This window comes from Homo sapiens, chromosome 2 (genome assembly GCF_000001405.40).
Source record: "Homo sapiens chromosome 2, GRCh38.p14 Primary Assembly".
In the NCBI taxonomy this organism is placed as follows: domain Eukaryota; kingdom Metazoa; phylum Chordata; class Mammalia; order Primates; family Hominidae; genus Homo; species Homo sapiens.
The window spans coordinates 108,643,534-108,662,906 of NC_000002.12; the positions used below are offsets into that span (position 1 = coordinate 108,643,534).

At 42.7% G+C, this 19,373-nt stretch overlaps 1 protein-coding gene across 16 annotated transcripts in view, besides 3 other annotated features; it reads left to right on the forward strand.

Annotated features, from left to right (window-relative positions):
* The window catches only part of LIMS1 (LIM zinc finger domain containing 1), a 153,576-nt gene that overhangs the window by 109,863 nt on the left and 24,340 nt on the right, over positions 1–19,373 (forward strand). For 11 of the 16 annotated variants that reach the window (NM_001371496.1, NM_001371495.1, NM_001394896.1 and 8 more), the window contains exon 2: positions 16,072–16,231. In NM_001371496.1, the coding sequence (NP_001358425.1) occupies positions 16,072–16,231 (160 nt within the window). Of the gene's footprint in view, positions 1–11,500; positions 11,724–16,071; positions 16,232–18,695; positions 19,270–19,373 lie in introns of those variants that run through there. The other 5 variants (NM_001394898.1, NM_001371500.1, NM_001371494.1 and 2 more) reach the window with 3 other exon arrangements.
* Positions 8,943–8,992: an enhancer, noted in NCBI's record as "active region_16350". NCBI's record gives its function as "activates an Ori minimal core promoter by ATAC-STARR-seq in GM12878 lymphoblastoid cells {active_cell/tissue: GM12878}" and the evidence as "EXISTENCE:reporter gene assay evidence [ECO:0000049][PMID:35858748]".
* Positions 11,420–12,034: an enhancer, noted in NCBI's record as "H3K27ac-H3K4me1 hESC enhancer chr2:109271409-109272023 (GRCh37/hg19 assembly coordinates)". NCBI's record gives its function as "activates a minimal SCP1, AML or CMV promoter by ChIP-STARR-seq in naive H9 embryonic stem cells {active_cell/tissue: H9 hESC(naive)}" and the evidence as "EXISTENCE:reporter gene assay evidence [ECO:0000049][PMID:30033119]".
* Positions 18,640–18,934: an enhancer, noted in NCBI's record as "tiled region #6630; HepG2 Activating non-DNase unmatched - State 17:Gen3', and K562 Activating DNase unmatched - State 5:Enh". NCBI's record gives its function as "activates a minimal TATA promoter and a strong SV40 promoter by Sharpr-MPRA in HepG2 and K562 cells {active_cell/tissue: HepG2 | K562}" and the evidence as "EXISTENCE:reporter gene assay evidence [ECO:0000049][PMID:27701403]".

Genomic DNA, 19,373 nt, shown 5'->3' on the forward strand with positions numbered 1-19,373 from the left:
CTGGGTTTCCAGCACAAAACTGGGCGGCCTTTAGGGCAGACACCGAGCTAGCCAGTTTTTTTTTTCATACCCCAGTGGTAGCGTTTGAGTTTTTTTCGTGCCCCAGTGGCGCCAGGAATGCCAACAAGACAGAAACATTCACTCCCCTGGAAAGGAGGGCTGAAGCCAGGGAGCCAAGAGGTCTGGCTTGATGGGTCCCACCCCCACGGAGCCAAACAAGCTAAGATCCACTGGCTTGAAATTCTTGTGCTAGTATAGCAGACTGAGCTCGACCTGGGATGCTCCAGCTTGGTTGGGGAAGGGGCGTCTGCCATTGCTAAGGCTTGAGTAGATGGTTTTACCCTCACAGTGTAAACAAAGCCACTGGGAAATTCGAACTGGGTGGAGCCCACTGCATTTCAGCAAGGTTGCTACCCTCAGACTGCCTCTCTAGATTCCCTCCTCTCTGGGTAGGGCATCTCTGAAAAAAAGGCAGCAACCCCAGTCAGGGACTTACAGATAAAACCGTCACCTCCCGGGACAGAGCACTTAGGGGAAGGGGTGGTTGTGGGCACAGCTTCAGCTGTCCCTAACTGGCAGCTCTGAAGAGAGCAGCAGATCTCCCAGCACAGCGTTCAAGCTCTGATAAGGGACAGCCTGCCTCCTCAAGTGGGTCCCTGACCCCCATGTATCCTAACTGGGAGACACCTCCTAGTAGGGGCCAACAGATACCTCATACAGGAGAGCTCTGGCTGGCATCTGGTGGGTGCCCCTCTGGAATGAGGCATCCAGAGGAAGGAACAACAGCCTGCAGCCCCCGCCAGTGATACCCAGGCAAACAGGGTCTGGAGCGGACCTCCAGCAAACTCCAGCAGACCTGCAGCAGAGGGGCCTGACTGTTAGAAGGAAAACTAACAAACAGAAAGGCATAGCATCAACATCAACAAAAATGACGTCCACTCAGAGACCCCATCCGAAGGTCACCAACTTCAAAGACCAAAGGTACATAAATCCACGAAGATGGGGAGAAACCAGCACAAAAAGGCTGAAAATTCCAAAAACCAGAACACCTCTTCTCCTCCAAAGGATCACAACTCCTTGCCAGCAAGGGAGCAAAACTGGAAGGAGAATGAGTTTGACGAATGTGACAGGAGTAGGCTTCAGAAGGTAGGTAATAACAAACTCCTCCGAGCTAAAGGAACATGTGCTAACCCAATGCAAGGAAGTTAAGAACGCTGAAAAAAGGTTAGATGAATTGCTAACTAGAATAACCAGTTTAGAGAAGAACATAAATGGTCTGATGGAGCTGAAAAACACAGTACAAGAACTTCATGAAGCACACACAAGTATCAACAGCCAAGTCGATCAAGCAGAAGAAAGGATATCAGAGATTGAAGATCAACTCAATGAAATAAAGCGTGAAGACAAGATTAGAGGGAAAAAAGTGAAAAGAAATGAACAAAGCCTCCAAGAAATATGGGACTATGTGAAAAGACCAGATCTTTGTTTGATTGGTATACCTGAAAGTGACGGGGAGAATGGAACCAAGTTGGAAAACATTCCTCAGGATATTATCTAGGAGAACTTCCCCAACCTAGCAAGGCAGGCCAACATTCAAATTAAGGAAATGGGACACCAGAAAGATACTCCTTGAGAAAAGCAACGCCAGGACACATAATTTTCAGATCACCAAGGTTGAAATGAAGGAAAAAATGTTAAGGGCAACCAGAGAGAAAGGTTGGGTTACCCATAAAGGGAAGCCCATCAGACTAACAGCGGATCTCGGCAGAAACCCTACAAGCCAGAAGAGAGTGGGGGCCAATATTCAAAATTCTTAAAGGAAAGAATTTTCAATCCAGAATTTCATATCCAGCCAAACAAAGCTTCATAAGCGAAGGAGAAATAAAATCCGTCACAGACAAGGAAATGCTGAGACAGTTTGTCACCACCAGGCCTGCCTTACAAGAACTCCTGAAGGAAGCACTAAACATGGAAAGGAACAACCGGTACGAGCCACTGCAAAAACTTACCAAATTGTAAAGACTATCAATGCTGTGAAGAAACTGCATCAACTAACGGGCCAAAATAACAGCTAGCATCATATTGGCAGGATGAAATTCACACATAACAATATTAACCTTAAATGTAAACGGGCTAAATGCCCCAATTAAAAGACACAGACTGGCAAATTGGATGAAGAGTCAAGACCCATCAGTGTGCTGTATTCAGGAGACCCATCCCACGTGGAGAGACACACATAGGCTCAAAATAAAAGGATGGAGGAAAATTTACCAAGCAAATGGAAAGCAAAAAAAAAAAAAACCCAGGAGTTGCAATCCTAGTCTCTGATAAAACAGCCTTTAAACTACAAAGATCAAGAGACAAAGAAGGGCATTACATAATGGTAGAGGGATCAGTGCAACAAGAAGAGCTAACTATCCTAAATATATATGCACCCAATACAGGAGCACCCAGATTCATAACGCATGTTCTTAGAGACCTACAAAGAGACTTAGACTCCCACACAATAATAGTGGGAGACTTTAACACCCCACTGTCAATATTAGATCAATGAGACAGAAAGTTAACAAGGATATCCAGGACTTGAACTTAGCTCTGGACCAAGCGGGCCTAATAGAACTCTTCACCACAAATCAGCAGAATATACACTCTTCTCAGCACCACATAGCACTTATTCTAAAATTGATCACATAATTGGAAGTAAAACACTCCTCAGCAAATGCAAAAAAATGGAAATCATAATGGTCTCTCAGACCACAGTGCAATCAAAGTAGAACTCAGGACTAAGAAACTCACTCAAAACCACACAACTATGTTGAAACTGAACAACCTGCTCCTGAATGACTACTGGGTAAATAACGAAATGAGGGCAAAAATAAAGATGTTATTTGAAACCAATGAGAACAAAGACACAACGTACCAGAATCTCTGGGACACATTTAAAGCAGTGTGTAGAGGGAAATTTATAGCACTAAATGCCCACAAGAGAAAGCAGGAAAGATCTAAAATCGACACCCTAACATCACAATTAAAAGAACTGGAGAAGCAAGAGCAAACAAATTCAAAAGCTAGCAGAAGACAAGAAGTAACTAAGATCAGAGCAGAAAAGGAGATAGATACACGAAAAACCCTTTAAAAAATAAATGAATCCAGGAGCTGGGGTTTTGTTTTGTTTTATTTTGTTTTGTTTTGAGACGGAGTCTGGCTCTGTCGCCAGGCTGGAGTGCAGTGGTGCGATCTCGGCTCACTGCAAGCTCCGCCTCCCGAGTTCATGCCATTCTCCTGCCTCAGCCTCCCGAATAGCTGGGACTATGAGTAGCTGGGACTACAGGCGCCTGCCAACACACCCGGCTAATTTTTTGTATTTTTAGTAGAGACAGGGTTTCACCGCGTTAGCCAGGATGGTCTCGATCTCCTGATCTCGTGATCCGCCCGCCTCGGCCTCCCAAAGTGCTGGGATTACAGGCATGAGTCACCGCGCCCGGCCCAGGAGCTGGTTTTTTGAAAAGATCAACAAAATAGATAGACCACTAGTGAGAATAATAAAGAAGAAAAGAGAGAAGAATCAAATAGATGCAATAAAAAATGATAAAGGGGATATCACCACTGATCCCACAAAAATACAAACTACCATCAGCGAATACTGTAAACACCTCTGCACAAATAAACCAGAAAATCTAGAAGAAATGGATAAATCGCTGGACATGTACACCCTCCCAAGACTAAACCAAGAAGAAGTCAAATCCCTGAATAGACCAATAACAAGTTCTGAAATTGAGGCAGCAAGTAATAGCCTACCAACCAAAAAAAGTCCAGGACTGGATGGATTCACAGCTGAATTCTACCAGAGGTACAAAGAGGAGCTGGTACCATTCCTTCTGAAACTATTCCAAACAATAGAAAAAAGGGACTCCTCCCTAACTCATTTTATGAGGCCAGCATCATCCTGATACCAAAACCTGGCAGAGACACAACAAAAAAAGAAAATTTCAGGCCAATATCCCTGATGAACATCAATGCGAAAATCCTCAATAAAATACTAGCAAACGGAATCCAGCAGCATATCAAAAAGCTTATCCACTTCAGTCAAGTCAGCTTCATCCCTGGGATACAAGGTTCATTCAACATACGCAAATCAATAAACGTAATCCATCACATAAACAGAACCAATGACAAAAACCACATGATTATCTCAATAGATGCACAAAAGGCCTCGACAAAATTCAACAGTGCTTCATACTAAAAACTCTCAATAAACTAGGCATTGATGGAATGTATCTCAAAATAATAAGAGCTATTTATGGCAAACCCACAGCCAATAGCATACTGAATGGGCAAAAACTGGAAGCAATCCCTTTAAAAAACCAGCACAAGACAAGGATGCCCTCTCTTACCACTCCTATTCAACATAGTATTAGAAGTTCTGGCCAGGGCAATCAGGCAAGAGAAATAAATAAAGGGTATTCAGTTAGGAAAAGAGCAAGTCAAATTGTCTCTATTTGCAGATGACATGATTGTATGTTTAGAAAACCCCATCGTGTCAGCCCAGAATCTCCTTAAGCTGATAAGCAAATTCAGCAAATTCTCCAGATACAAAATCAATGTGCAAAAATCACAGGCATTCCTATACACCAATAACAGACAAACGGAGAGCCAAATCATGAGTAAACTCCCATTCACAGTTGTTACTAAGAGAATAAAATACCTAGGAATACAACTTACAAGGGATGTGAAGGACCTCTTCAAGGAGAACTACAAACCACTGCTCAAGGAAATAAGAGAGGACACAAACAAATGGAAAAATATTCCATGCTCATGGATAGGAAGAATCAATTTTGGGCTATACTGCCCAAAGTAATTTATAGATTCAATGCTGTCCCCATCAAGCTACTATTGACTTTCTTCACAGAATTGGAAAAAACTACTTTGAATTTCACATGGAACCAAAAAAGAGCCTGCATAGCCAAGACATTCCTAACCAAAAAGAACAAAGCTGGAGGCATCACGCTACCTGACTTCAAAGTATACTACAAGTCTACTTTGTTACTACAAGGCTGTTTTGTTACTACAAAAACAGCATGGTACTTATACCAAAACAGATATATAAACCAATGGAACAGAACAGAAGCCTCAGAAATAACGCCACACATCTACAACCATCTGATCTTTGACAAACCTGACAAAAACAAGCAATGGGGAAAGGTTTCCCTATTTAATAAATGGTGTTGGGAAAACTGGCTAGCCATATGCAGAAAGCTGAAACTAGATCCCTTCCTTACACCTTATACAAAAATTAACTGAAGATGGATTAAAGATTTAAATGTAAGACATAAAACCATGAAAACCCTAGAAGAAAACCTAGGCAATACCATTCAGGACATAGGCATGGGCAAGGACTTCATGTCTAAAACACCAACAGCAATGGCAGCAAAAGCCAAAACTGACAAACAGGATCTGACTAAACTAAAGAGCTTCTGCATAGCAGAAGAAACAATCATCAGAGTGAACAGACAACCTACAGAATGGGAGAAAATTTTTGCAATCTACTCATCTGACAAAGGGCTAATATCCAGAATCTATAAAGAACTAAAACAAATTTACAAGAAAAAAACCCCATCAAAAAGTGGGCAAAGGATATGAACAGACACTTCTCAAAAGAAGATATTTATGCAGCCAACAGACATGAAAAACAGCTCATCATCACTGATCATTAGAGAAATGCAAATCAAAACCACAATGAGATACCATCTCACACCAGTTAGAATAGTGATCATTAAAAAGTCAGGAAACAACAGATGCTGGAGTGGATGTGGAGAAATAGGAACACTTTTACACTGTTGGTGGGAGTGTATATTAGTTCAACCATTGTGGAAGACAGTGTGCCGATTCCTCAAGGATCTAGAACTAGAAATACCATTTGACCCAGCAATCCCATTACTGGGTATATACCCAAAGGATTATAAATCATTCTATAAAGACACATGCACATGTATGTTTGTTGCAACACTGTTCACAATAGCAAAGACTTGGAACCACACCAGATGCCTATCAATCATAGACTGGATAAAGAAAATGTAGCATATATACACCATAGGATATTATGCAGCCATAAAAAAGGATGAGTTCATGTCCTTTGCAGGGACATGGATGATGCTGGAAACCATCATTCTCAGCAAACTAACACGAGAACAAAAAACCAAACACTGCATGTTCTCATAAGTGGGAGTTGAACAGTGAGAACACATGGACACAGGGAAGGGAACATCACACACCGGGGCCTGTCGGTGGGTGGGGGATAGGGGAGGGATAGCATTAGAAGAAATACCTAATGTAGATGACAGGTTGATGGGTGCAGCAAACCACCATGGCACATGTATACCTATGTAACAAACCTGCACGTTCTGCACATGTACCTACCTCGAACTTGAAGTATAATAAAATAAATACTTTCAACAGTAAAAAAAAGAAAAACGCCCTTAGGGAATTGAGGACCTCGCACAATCCTAATTCTTCACCAAAAGCCACCTAGCAGACCTGCTATTCAGACGAATCTGACTTTTTTGGTATTTTCAAACAACAGCCTCCCACCCTACTTCAATGGCTATTCTGATGCCACTGCCGTGGCAGTAGTAGTTTCAGTCAAATTTGTTTGCATTTCTTAGAGTGACATTATTAATTCCTGAAAATGATTTAACAGTATCAAAATGCCTGAATATAAAAGTTGAGCTATGGTGTTTATTCGGAATTAAACCACTCCCTTGTCCTCTTGAAAAAATAACATATTTCTTTTAGCTTTACTCTGTTGTAGCTAAATAAGATAAGTGACTGCAGGTAGTCTTTTTGGGAGAATTGTGTGCCGCCTAAACTTTCTTTTCTTTTCTTTTTTTTTTTTTTTTCTTTCGAGACGGAGTTTTGCTCTTGTTGCCCAGGCTTGAGTGCAGTTGCACAATCTCGGCTCACTGCAGCCTCTGCCTCCTAGGTTCAGGCGATTCTCCTGCCTCAGCCTCCTGAGCAGCTGGGATTACACGTGCCCACCACCACGCCAGCTAATGTTTTGTGTTTTTAGTAGAGACAGGGTTTCATCATGTTGGCCAGGCTCCTGGCCAAATCTCAAACTCCTGACCTCAGGTGATCCACCCGCCTCGGCCTCCCAAAGTGCAGGGATTACAGGCGTGAGCCACTGCACCTGACCACCACCTAAACATTCCATGGCCACACTGTTACAGATCCTTATTCACGACATACAAACAACCTTGTTCACTCAGCACTGGGCACCAAACTATGTACTGTATAGTCATAGAAGCAGAGGCTATGACTTTTATTTATTTATTCATTCATTCATTCATTCAGCAGATTGTAGTATCTTCTACTGATGGTGGGCTGGATACTTCTTAGGCACCACATTGGGCCTATTGCATCATGGGCTCATAGTAAAAGTTCCATATGTCCAGGAATGATGTAAAGCCAACAATGGAATAATGCGAGCAACTATTTTTCTAGAAGAAGTAGACTTTACCAGAATGCCAAAATGGGCTGCTAAAGGAAGGGCAGCCCATCAGTGCTGTCACCAGCTCCTGAAACCCCGGGGCCTGTTTACTCCCACCATTGCAGTGGAGGACATGTCTGAGCCTCCTGCTTGTCTTTAACCCCCACATTAGTTCCTTTGTCGTTTCAGTGTAAGTAGCTTGGGTAATGTGCAGAGAATTTCTTTGCCTTGTATTATTTATGCTGAGAATCAACTGGTTGGGTCATCAGTTCCTAGGGAGAGGCTAATGGGAAGGTGATCTATAGAGTGTGATAGAAGACAATCTAGCTTTCTTGCTGCATCTTTTCTTCGTTCAGAACGTCAGCTTCTCTTTTCCCTCCCAACTCCCAGTAGGATATTCCTGATTGAAAGAAAGGCCAAGAGGAGAGAATGAGATCTAGCAAAATTGTAAACAAAGGAACAGAGCCACAAACCTGTTTTACATTCATATAAAATGTTACATTGATTGATTAAACAGTTTAAAAATATCTTCATAGTATATGGTACCTTTGATCATAAAACCAGGTCATGTTAAGGTGACCTCTATTGAAGAGTTCTATTTAGGGTTACTGTGTGCCAACCACCCTCATTAAAATAGTCACAGATGTAAGTAGAGGAAACCAGATAAAAGGAAAGATCTCTATCTGCTTCCCCGTAGTAATCTTTACATAGCATAACTTGAGTTAAGAACAGCCAGATGGAAGAGATAATGGGGCAAGGTGTGGGGAAACAGAGCAGAGCTTCTCTCCTCTGGGAGCGCCACCCTCCCAGCACCTCCATATGTTCAGCAACCCAGAAGTTCCCCTAAACTGTCCTATTGAGTTTTTATGGAGGCTTCTTTTCATAGGCATGATTGATTTGATCATTGACCACAACTCCTCTCCCTTCCAAGGGGTTGGGGCTGGAGCTGAAAGTTGCAGCCTTCTTATTGCATGGTTGATTCTCCAGCAGCCACCCCCACACCTGTCACATTAGCCTACAAAAGACACTTACCACTTCAGAGAGTCCAAGAGTTTTAGGAGTCCTGTGCCAGGAAATGGGGGCGGAGACCAAGAATAGATTTATTATTAAAAGTCACAATATGACAGGCAGTTTCTTTAAAACCTAAGCATTCACTTACCATACAACTCAGCAATTTTACTGTTGGGCATTTATCCCAGAGAAATAAAAATATATTCAATACAGAAATTTCTATAGTTTCATTCACAGTGCCACAAATTGGAAGGAAAGTACTTAAATGCCCTTCAGCGGGTGAACAGTGAAACAAACTATGCATCCATGTCATGGAATACTACGTGGCAGTAAACAAGAGCAAACTGGACATGTGGAGCAACTTGGATTGATCTCAGGGCATTGTGCTGAATGAAAAGCCTTAAGATGTCACATGAACGATTCCATTTGGTAACATTCTTTAAATAACAGAATCATATAAATGAAAAACACATGAGTGGTTGCCAGAGGTTAGGAGTGTTGGAGTGTGCAGAGGTATGTGATGGTCAGAGATAACATGAAAGAGAAGTCTGTGGTGATGGAATAGTCCTGTAACTTGATAGAGGCTGATGTTACAGGAAGCTGCCCATGTGATGAAATGACAGACACCCGCACACATGCATTGTTGCAATGTCAGGTTCCTGGTTTTGCTCCTGTACTGTAGTCACGTAAGATGTGAGCACTGGGGAGACTGTGAGGGAGAATTCTGAGCAGAAGGCTCACGTGGCTTCCTGCCTCCTACCATGCCACCCCCACCGGATGCATTAAATTTCTGGTCTGAGTCAGCCTGCCTCTGTCCCCATCCATCTGTCTGTCTGTCTCTTTCTTCCCCTCCCTCCCTGCCTCCTCACTGTTTCACATGGTCATTGTAAAAAAAAAACCTAAAAAATTAGGAAATATAGATAAATTGAAAGGAAAAATTTTAAACCATGAGGTTGTTCCTTTCTTATTTAAATATGGTGGTTCCCTTGTTTCATGAGCCATAGGCTTTGGGCCTGGGCAGGATCTGTAGCCCACAGCCTTTGAGTTCTTGACCTATCCTCTGAGATTTTTAGGGTTCAAAGTAGAAAGACTTGGTCCCCTGCTTCCAGTCCTATCTGGTACCCACTCCCTCATCTTTTCTGGCTAACCATTGTGCTTCCCAGTAATTATGTTTAACATTTTCTCACATAGGGATTAACAACATAGGCTCTGGACTCAGAGTGCCTAGGTTTAAATCTTGACTCCACCACCTCCTTAGTAGTTATTCAGTCTCTTTGTGCCTCAGTTTCTTCATTTGTAACTAACACCTATCTCAGAAGCCGTGGGAAGGATTAAGGGATGTGATAGGAAGCACTCACTGACTCTTGGATATCATTATTTATGGTTGTTACTTGGTGTCTCTGGCTGCATTTTGTTTGTCGCTGCTGGTTCCGTGACTGTCCATCAGTGTGCCTTGCGCCTGTTCTGTAGATTTTATTTCACAGTCTCTTGGTTTTGGTGGGTGGCACACTGCCCTGAGAGGATGGGGACGTGAGAAAGATTCTGAGCCCTTTAGTTGTCTCTAGTGCTACATCATGATTGTCATCATTGCTGTAAGCCAAAAAGTATATGAGACAAGTCTTACTCAATTTAGAACATGTATTTTGCCAAAGTTAATGACGCACCCATGACACAGCCTCAGGAGGTCCTGACAACATGCGCCCCGGGGTGGTCGGGGTACAGCTTGCTTTTATACATTTCAGGGAGACATGAGACATCAATCAATATATGTAAGATGTACATTGGTTCAGTCCAGTAAGGTGGAACAATTCGAAGTAGGGGGTTTCCAGGCCAGAAGTAGATAAGAGACAAAAAGTTGCAGTCTTTTGAGTCCTTGATCAGCCTTCCGATGAATACACAATTGTGTCTGGCTCAGTGAACCTACATTTTTACGTGAACAATAGGGCAGAGGAAGCAATCAGTTATGCATTTGTCTCAAGTGAGCCTCAAAGGGATGACTTTGAGTTTGTGTCTGTCCTTTTTCCATAAGGAGTTTTCTCGCGGGCAAATGGTGAGGGAGGGATGTAGGTTGTTATCTTTGTAGCTATCTTATTTAGCAATAAAACAGGAGGCAAGTTTGCCTGACGTAGTTTCCAGCTTGACTTTTTCCTTGGCTTAGTGATTTAGTTTCCTTTCGCATTGCTAACTCAATCACAGGAGACAGGAGTGTGAACTGAATATAGCAAGAATGCCAAAGTATGTAACAGTTTCCTTAGTCATGATAGAGACTGAGAAACATCGGCTCACCTAAGCTTTGAGGTTAGCTGGAGTCCAGTAGAAGAGTTATAACTAAACACTGGCCCTTGTCTGTTTCCACTTGTGCCCATTCATTGAAGCTGAGATTGGACTGAGTACATTTGTGACTATGTACCAGTAGCAAAGGTGATAGAAGTCAAACATAGCTCTTAGTTTTAGGGGCTCATGGCCTCCTGGGGAAGGGACCCATCAGGCATAGCTGGCAGTCATGGCCAGGGTTGTGGAAGCCCAGGTCCAGGCAGGGTTCAAATGCTCCTCAGAGTGTGCCAGCAGCCTCAGCCTCAGGGAGAGCTTGTCAGGGGATGTTTTACAAGGTCTCCAAAAGCCTCTTATGCCCTCCAGAGTGAAAAGCACGGCATTGTTGATGAAGTCTTGTGGCAAATATGCAAGGCACGTGTGGATATTTCTTTCTCTTGGAGGCTTACAAGGTAGCCCCGGTCTCCTGGTGCAGTGTTTATAGCATAGTCCACTGGGACTGCCGCTCTGACAAAGACTGTGTCACTACTTTGTGGAATGTTATTTTAGAACTTCCAGAATGCCTCAGTAAATCCTGACTGCCATGTAACTGTGTACTGTGCTGCTGAGCTCTTAACATGAAGCAGCAGTAGTGACCCTGGCGGGCCAGGCTGACGTGCGTGGGAACAGTGGGAGTGACCCTGGCTGGGAAGCAGGGAGGCCTGGATATTGTTTCTCCTGGCTCTGTGTCCTGCCATTCTCGTCCCTGTGCTCAGAGCTCTCAAGCACCCACGATGGCCTTCTCAGGCCGAGCGCGCCCCTGCATTATCCCAGAGAACGAAGAAATCCCCCGAGCAGCCCTTAACACTGTCCACGAGGCCAATGGGACCGAGGACGAGAGGGCTGTTTCCAAACTGCAGCGCAGGCACAGTGACGTGAAAGTCTACAAGGAGTTCTGTGACTTTTATGCGAAATTGTGAGTGTCTCCTCTCCTGGAGTGCCCTCTTCCAGGTCCAGCGTTCTTGGCTGTCTGTTCAGGAGCCATCCTGAGCTGGCCCATACAATTTTATTGACTGGACTTTGGGTGGGAGTTTTCCAGGGTGGTAGGGCTCCGAGGGGCTCGCAGCGCAGCATGTTTAGGGAGACAGGAGACTGCCTTGTCGGTAAGACATGCAGCGACACGCAGATGGGAGGGAGGTGCTGCCCTCACTGTGAGAGCATGGCGGCCCCGTCTTTAGTAGGTTCCTGATCACTTGGTAACTAACTGCATTTTCATCATGTCGTCCGCAAGGGAGGCTTAGTGTTGTCATTGTCAGTAATTACGTTAGAAAAATTCTGCAGTCTAAAACGGCCCAAAGATAAGGGGCAGATGGGTTGGGACAGTGAAAAAAACAAATTACAGACTGTTGGTAAAGATAAATATTTTTGTTTTGTGTAATAATCAACAATTTGAAGTAAGCTAACTGGGTTTCTTAATTGAATGAATAAATATATATATCGTATAAGTAGCAGCTCAATACACATATAGAACATACTGTTAACTCTAAAAAGCTAGGCTAATTTATATTATTAAATAGGTTTTAGCAAACACATTTTTTTAAGAAAATGCAGAGTAGCCATCAGACCAGCTCAAGATTATTGACCTCATTCAAAGTTGTGAGCTTAGAATTACTGCGTATCCCAAATTTGTCAAGTAAGAGTTAATGAGAATTTAACTGACCCGGTTCTCTACTTCCATAATCCGTGCTCTGTGGTACAGATGTCACTTATCTTCACAACTCACAGAGAGCTCTGTTTGACAGTAACTGGGGAATTGTAATAATACAGTAACCAATATTTTGACTGCTTGGTGAACTCTCAAGAAGATTTTTGGATTTATACATTGCTGCATTTTAGGACCAAACAATTTGTTTTGCATACTTGAATAATGGAAAGCAAGATATCAGTTGTGCTGTGTGAGGTTGATTTGTGGAAGTAGATCAGCTTCATCAGTCATGCCTGTCCTGACTTTTACATATAAATATCTATCTATCTATCTATAGATAGATAGATAGATAGATAGATAGATAGATACTCCCCCACTTACATATTTCTTGTCATCAACACTTTTTACTGAAAATCTTTTTCTGAAAAATTAGCTAATTAATTATAACTAATCTGATGGTAGCTATAACTGTCACTAATGACTTTTTTAAAGTAATTTCTGTCATCTGTAGTATTAAATATAAAATCAACATTTAAAAAAAAAAACAACAGGCATTGTGCCAGAGGGTCAAAGGCAAAAGAGGAAAGGGAAGCCTGACTGGTTCAGGGGGCAGCAAGGTGATTGTTCTGTTTCCTTTTTCCCCCTGCTTGTGATGAAAAGGAATACTTCTTGCAAAATATATATTATATTACCTCTAAAACTAGCGGATTTTTCCTGTGTGTGGGAAGTAACTGTGTGCTTGTTTTTATGATGTATCTACCTATTTCCTAATTCTACTTGAGTATTTGAACTTAAGTAGAAACAATCTATATTATAATGAGTTTAAACTGGTCAGTGATAATCAAACGTTTTAATCTAAGGGCCTCTTAACACTCTTAAAAACTATTAAGGTTCCCAAAGGACTTTCATTTATCAGTATTTACCATATGAGAAATTGAAACTGGGAACAATTTAAAATACTTATTAATTCATTTAAAAACAACACTAAGCTTATTACGTGTTAATAATAGTAAATGTTAATATTAATGTTGTCATGAAAAATAACTGTTTTCCAAAATGGAAGAGGCTTAGAGGAAAGGATGGCATTGCGTTACATTTTTGCAAATCTTGTTAATAAAAGTTTCTCAGATTTGTTTCTGCATTCAACCTATTACAGTCTATTGTTTTAGATGAAATATATGAAGAAAACATGGCCTCCCACAGAGATGTAGTTGGAAAAGAGGACTTTTCTGCCTCCTGAAAGGGTCATGGTGACGCTGACATTTTGAAAACGACTGATTTAGGTGATAATGATCCAGGACATTCTAGAATATTCTTTTTGGGCTTTTTTAGAGTCCCATTAAGATTGTTGAGGTTTGGTGAATCTTTTGAGAGGGTTTAGAATTAACAACAGAGCCATATATATGAGCAGCATCTTACGGTTTCCAAATAGTTTAAAATACTTTTTCCTCAGAACAATAATGAGAACAGCACTGAGAATGACCAGGCAGATGTGGAGCTTACCGTGCTCCTTCATCCAGGAATACCTGTGGACTTTGGTCAGAAAGAGGGAAGAAGCACAAACCCCTCCAGAGTTTTGTAAAACTGCCACAATCATCTGGCTTACGGCAAAGCTGGGCGATGATGAGAATTTTACAGATTTTTTCCCCAACCTACAGTAACTTTGAAATGACAGAATGGAAATTCATTTTAACATGAGGCTTGGGCCAGGTTTACTGAGCAGTGAAGCTGCTTCCCTTTCTCCCTTCCTTCCTTTTTTTTGTGACATTTTAATTCTGCATTCAAACCTGTTAAATAAAGTTGAGCTTTGACGGGTCTGAAGTGATGAACATGGTGTGTCTGCACGCAGTTATTTATGGCAAGGCTACAAAACAGGATGACTGTTTTGTGAAACATTTTGGGGAGAAAGGCAAAGGGAAAGTTGTCTTCCAGAGGTGTGGAGGGGAGTGAAGCAAGTAAGTGGAACCACTTTTGCTAAGGAAACAGCAAAACTTGGAAACCAATAGGGGCAAGGCAGTTAGTTACTCTGTTTATAGAATGGAGACTGTCTACCTGTCTGTCTCACTAGTTGGTTGTGAAAATTCAGGAGAACATTGGTAATAACTTCATGAAGTACATTGATTAAATATCTGGAAGGTCAGAAGCTGTACCAGGGAACTAGACACACAGGTGTAGAGCTCATGCTGTGGGTAGGCCTGTGAAAATAAACTTGCCAAAAATTGAAGGACCGCTTGGCATGGGGGACCTTCTCCATTTCTAGGACTTTTAAGAAATAAATAGGTCTTCACGTGAAATCCTCATCTAATTGTATGCCTGTCAAAGCCATGTTGCTTTTCTTTTCCTTTTTCTTTTTTGAAATGGAGTTTTGTTCTTGTTGTCCAGGCTGGAGTGCAGTGGCAAGATCTTGGCTCACTGCAACCTCCGCCTCCCAGGTTCAAGTGATTCTCCTGCCTCAGCCTCCCAAGTAGCTGGGACTACAGGCATGTGCCACCACACCCGGCTAATTTTGAATTTTTACTAGAGACGAGGTTTTACCATGTTGGTCAGGCTGGTCTCGAACTCCTGACCTCAAGTAATCCACTGTCCTCAGCCTCCCAAAGTCCTGGGATTACAGGCGTGAGCCACTGCAGCCATCTGCCATGTTGCTTTCCTTCTTCCAAACTGCACAGTGGTTAGAGCCTGAGATTATTTATTGAATGCCTTCTGTGTTTTAAGGTGTAGTGAGGCTACCGATGGGGGAATTTCCCACGTCACCAGCCGCAGCAGTGGTTACTTGACAACCTGGTGTCACTTTCCTAACCTATGAAACGTGGTGGTATCCCTGTCATGTCCTTTCAAGTGTTTGAAATTCGTGGTGTAATCTGTTTTGATTGACAGTGTGATTTTATGAGCAGGGGACCTGGATTTCTAGTCCTGCGCCTTCCTTTAACTAATTAGCCTTGTGATGTTGGTCTGATCCTTCCATCTCTGTGAACCTGTTTTGCCATCTGTAAAATGATCTTTATTATGTAAAATTCTGTGATTTTAAGATACATTTTATAATATTGGTAATCAGGTTCGTCTTACCGATTAGGTAACAGGACTGGGGCATCTTGGCTGGTTTTAAGGCTACTTAAGCAGTTGTTTTCCACAGGATTTAATCAAAGGGATAACCCGTGTCTAGGTTATATGACATGGCATTTAGTTGACATGCATTTTAGATTCTGTTCTCAGAAGGGAAAGAAACTGGCCTTGAGATGTTGACTTTTGGATATTTTAATTAAGCTACTTATTAAGCTATAAACCCAATTCCTTGAGAGCAGCTTGTAACTTTCATCTCTGTCTCAGGTGCCTAACACATAGTAGGCACTCACTCATAGTATATTCAGCAAGAAGAATGCCAAAAATGTTAGAAACAGAATCAAAGTGGGACACCCTTACAGAGCCTCAGATGCTACGGTAAAGAGGCTGAAGAGTCCGAGTTCAGAGCATGTAAGGAACAAGCAAGAAATTGAGCTTTTTAGATAAAATAGGGTTTTTGTGATCAGATAGAATTTGCTGCTCGGTTCTTAGTGTTGTTTGATCTTCGATCTAAGAAGTGGCTGACGGTCTGCAACCTGCTGTTCTTTGCGTGTTACAGCAACATGGCCAACGCCCTGGCCAGCGCCACTTGCGAGCGCTGCAAGGGCGGCTTTGCGCCCGCTGAGAAGATCGTGAACAGTAATGGGGAGCTGTACCATGAGCAGTGTTTCGTGTGCGCTCAGTGCTTCCAGCAGTTCCCAGAAGGACTCTTCTATGAGGTGAGTTGCACTGGACAAAAGCAGGGAGGTGCCATTCCCCGCCCTCCCGCTTCCTGCCCTTCTTTCCTGAGGCCTCCTCCTTCATGTTCAGTTTCATGATGAAAGACTGAAGTGCCACATGCATGCCAGGTATTTGATAGCTGTGAGGTCAGAGGTGGCATCTCTATGGCCCATATGGGCAGTGGCATGATTGGGACACCCTCACAGACCCTGCATTTGTATTGCTCAGTTCATCGTCCTATTTCAGAACCCAGAGTCCCTTATGACAGAGCCTTTCAGACCTAAGCAGCTCAGCTCCACATAGAAAATTCTTTCTGAGTCTTCAGCCACACTCAGGCCCCCCACACACCTCACCCACTCCTGTCTCTGTGTCTTTCCCCCTTCTCAGAGGACCACTGGACCTGCTCTAAAGGAGAGCGTGTGGTGTACGTCACCCCCTCCACAACTTCCCAGCCTCGAGCCAGGAGCGTCCATGCATTTATTTTCTAAGGGAAAAAAAAATAAGTATTTTAGGGAACTATACTGTCTACATTTAGCTCTCCTGGGTGTCTATGTTCTTTTCTAAATATTTGTTTTTCTTGATCCTCGGGTGTTAGCATATGGTCTGCACTTCCTTTGTAGTGTATTTGGTATTTTCAACATTACCGAAACCCCTTTCTTGTTGTTTTTTATTGTTTTGTTTTGTTTGAGACAAAGTCTCATTGTATAGCCCAGGCTAGAGTGTAGTGGCATGATTATAGCTCATTGCAGCCTTGAACTGCTAAGCTCAAGTGATCCTCCAGCCTCAGCCTCCTGAGTAGCTGGGGCTACAGGCACGTGCCACCATGCCCGACTAATTTTATTTTTCATAGAAACGGAGTCTCCCTATGTTGCCCAGGCTGGTCTCAAACTCCTGGGCTCAGGTGATCCTCGGCCTCCCAAAGTGCTAGGATTACAGGTATGAACCACCATGTCTGGCCTACTGAAACTCCTTTCTCACAGTAAACATGTATTTTGGGGGATAATCTAGAAATGCTGACCCCAGGCTATAAATGAAGGTGAGAGTGAGGTGTATGTGTGTGTTAGATCAAATAGGTAATTTACTTTTACCACCTTACTTCTTACATATTTGTACGTAAATGCACATCTATATATGATAATATATGTATATAGAATTATTTTATAGCTGGAGATGGCTGCTCTTTGATTTCTTCTTTTGCCTAGCAGATTTTTATGTTTCCCTGTTATATAAACCATGCTTGAGCAAGGAAAGGTAGTTGACAAAGATCATTGGTAAGTCCATTGTATGCCACTCCGGCAGCATTTTCCCATAGAAACAAACATGAGAGTGGGGTTCCCAGGCCAGCCCACAGAAAAGCTGTTTACCCCATCATGGGTACATGAAATACAGGGCTAGCAAGTATGTAATAATGTCAACTTGGAAACAGCTTTAAGGGTTTGGGTTAAGGAATGCTATTTTATTCACTAGCACACATTTTTTTAAGCTCCTATTGTGTCCCCAAAACACACATTCCCAACAACAAAAACCTTAGCAGTGGAAAGAGGTTTTCGTTTTCTCTTTTCTTCTAGTTCTTTTTTTTTTTTTAACTTTATTTCTTTAGGCCTCCAAACATGCTCTATGTATCTTCTTACAGTTCTTCCTGTTCTTCCTGACTCCTTCCCTGGGCAGTGGGAATCTTTTGGGCAAGGATGATGGATTTAGGGATGGGCAAATGACAGTTGTGAAGATGGACAGGAGCAGGAGAGGCCAATGTACCACAGCAGAAGAGGGCAGGAGAGGAGCTCCAGAGGTGTGAATGGAGGCATCAGGCATAGAGACCCCCTACTGAGGCTATAGGTAGATTGTGATTAGCTGGTGAGGAGAAGGAATAGGAAATCCCTAGGTGCTGCGGCAGCAAGAAGAGAGGGCGTTTGCTGGTGGTAGTGGTGGTGAGCCATGACTCAATTCAGTTAAAGGGACCTGAGGACCTACTTCTACCTCGGCACCATGGAGGCCTGCGGGGACTATGGCAAGGAAGGAGGTGAGACTCCCAAGGCACATTGAAGGGAATTCTGGAAAGCTGGCTTGGAGAGAGCATGGTCTTCTCACTATATGAATCCCTTCTGTATCCCTCCCTTCTTTTTTTTCTCTCCTGTAGTCCAGAGAGGTTGAAATGTCTGATAACATAGCAGGTTTGCGACATGAAAGAGATGAGAGCCTAGCTGGTCTCCTAGTATCTAATACAATATTCTTTCCCTTACATATTCTTTTTAAATATAAGATATTTTTATTGAAATGGGCAATTATGACAAAGGCCTTAGGAGAGCTCGGTCCAGGGGAGCAATAGAGAAGAACTCAGAGAAAAAGACAGGCTTTGTTTTTCCAGACATTTTCCTTATATCCCTGGCTTGCTCTTTCCCCTGTGAGCACCCTGTAGCTCCAGCCCTCCGTCACCTTCTTTCTCCCATTTTGCCTGTGACTTAGGAACGAACATGATGGTTAAGCTACCTTCATTAAGCAGCATGACCGCTTCCTGAGCTCCTGCTGCCGCATTTAGGCCCTGTCAGCTGTGAGGCCACTGGTGCTGAGTCAGAGGGAAAAGCTCAGAACAGCCTTGAGCAGTGAAGAATAAAGTGTGACTCATCTCGTCCTGCCCACCCCTCACACTGGACTATAAATACCCTCCCTGGGTCTGTGTGCTGTTATTCCAAAAGATGCGATGAATACCCAGAACTAGGCTATTCATGGGCTGTTGCCCAGTTCAAGATCTGTTGGGTCCTGAGGAAGATTACTATTTTGGCTAAATTGTTTATCATTAAAACCAGCCCAGGGATGTGTAAACCTGCATCTGGAGAATAAGACATTTCTTTTTGGTTAAATGATATTAGAGAAAAAAACTATCCAAGACTGCTAACAAATAATCTTCACTTTCAGTTATATCCAGCAATAAGTTGTTTTCCAGAAAAGAAAGCTTGGAAACTTACCCAGTTTGCCTTCCATTTGGGACATGACTGATGTGCTTCAGTCTTTGTATAATAAATGCATCTTCGCCACTCTATATCTTTGTTATTGCTTTTGTCTCGTTATCAGAACAACTTCCTTCCCTGATTTCCACAGCCTCTATTTTTTCTTTTCTCTAGAAGACTAGTTAGGGAGACTTAG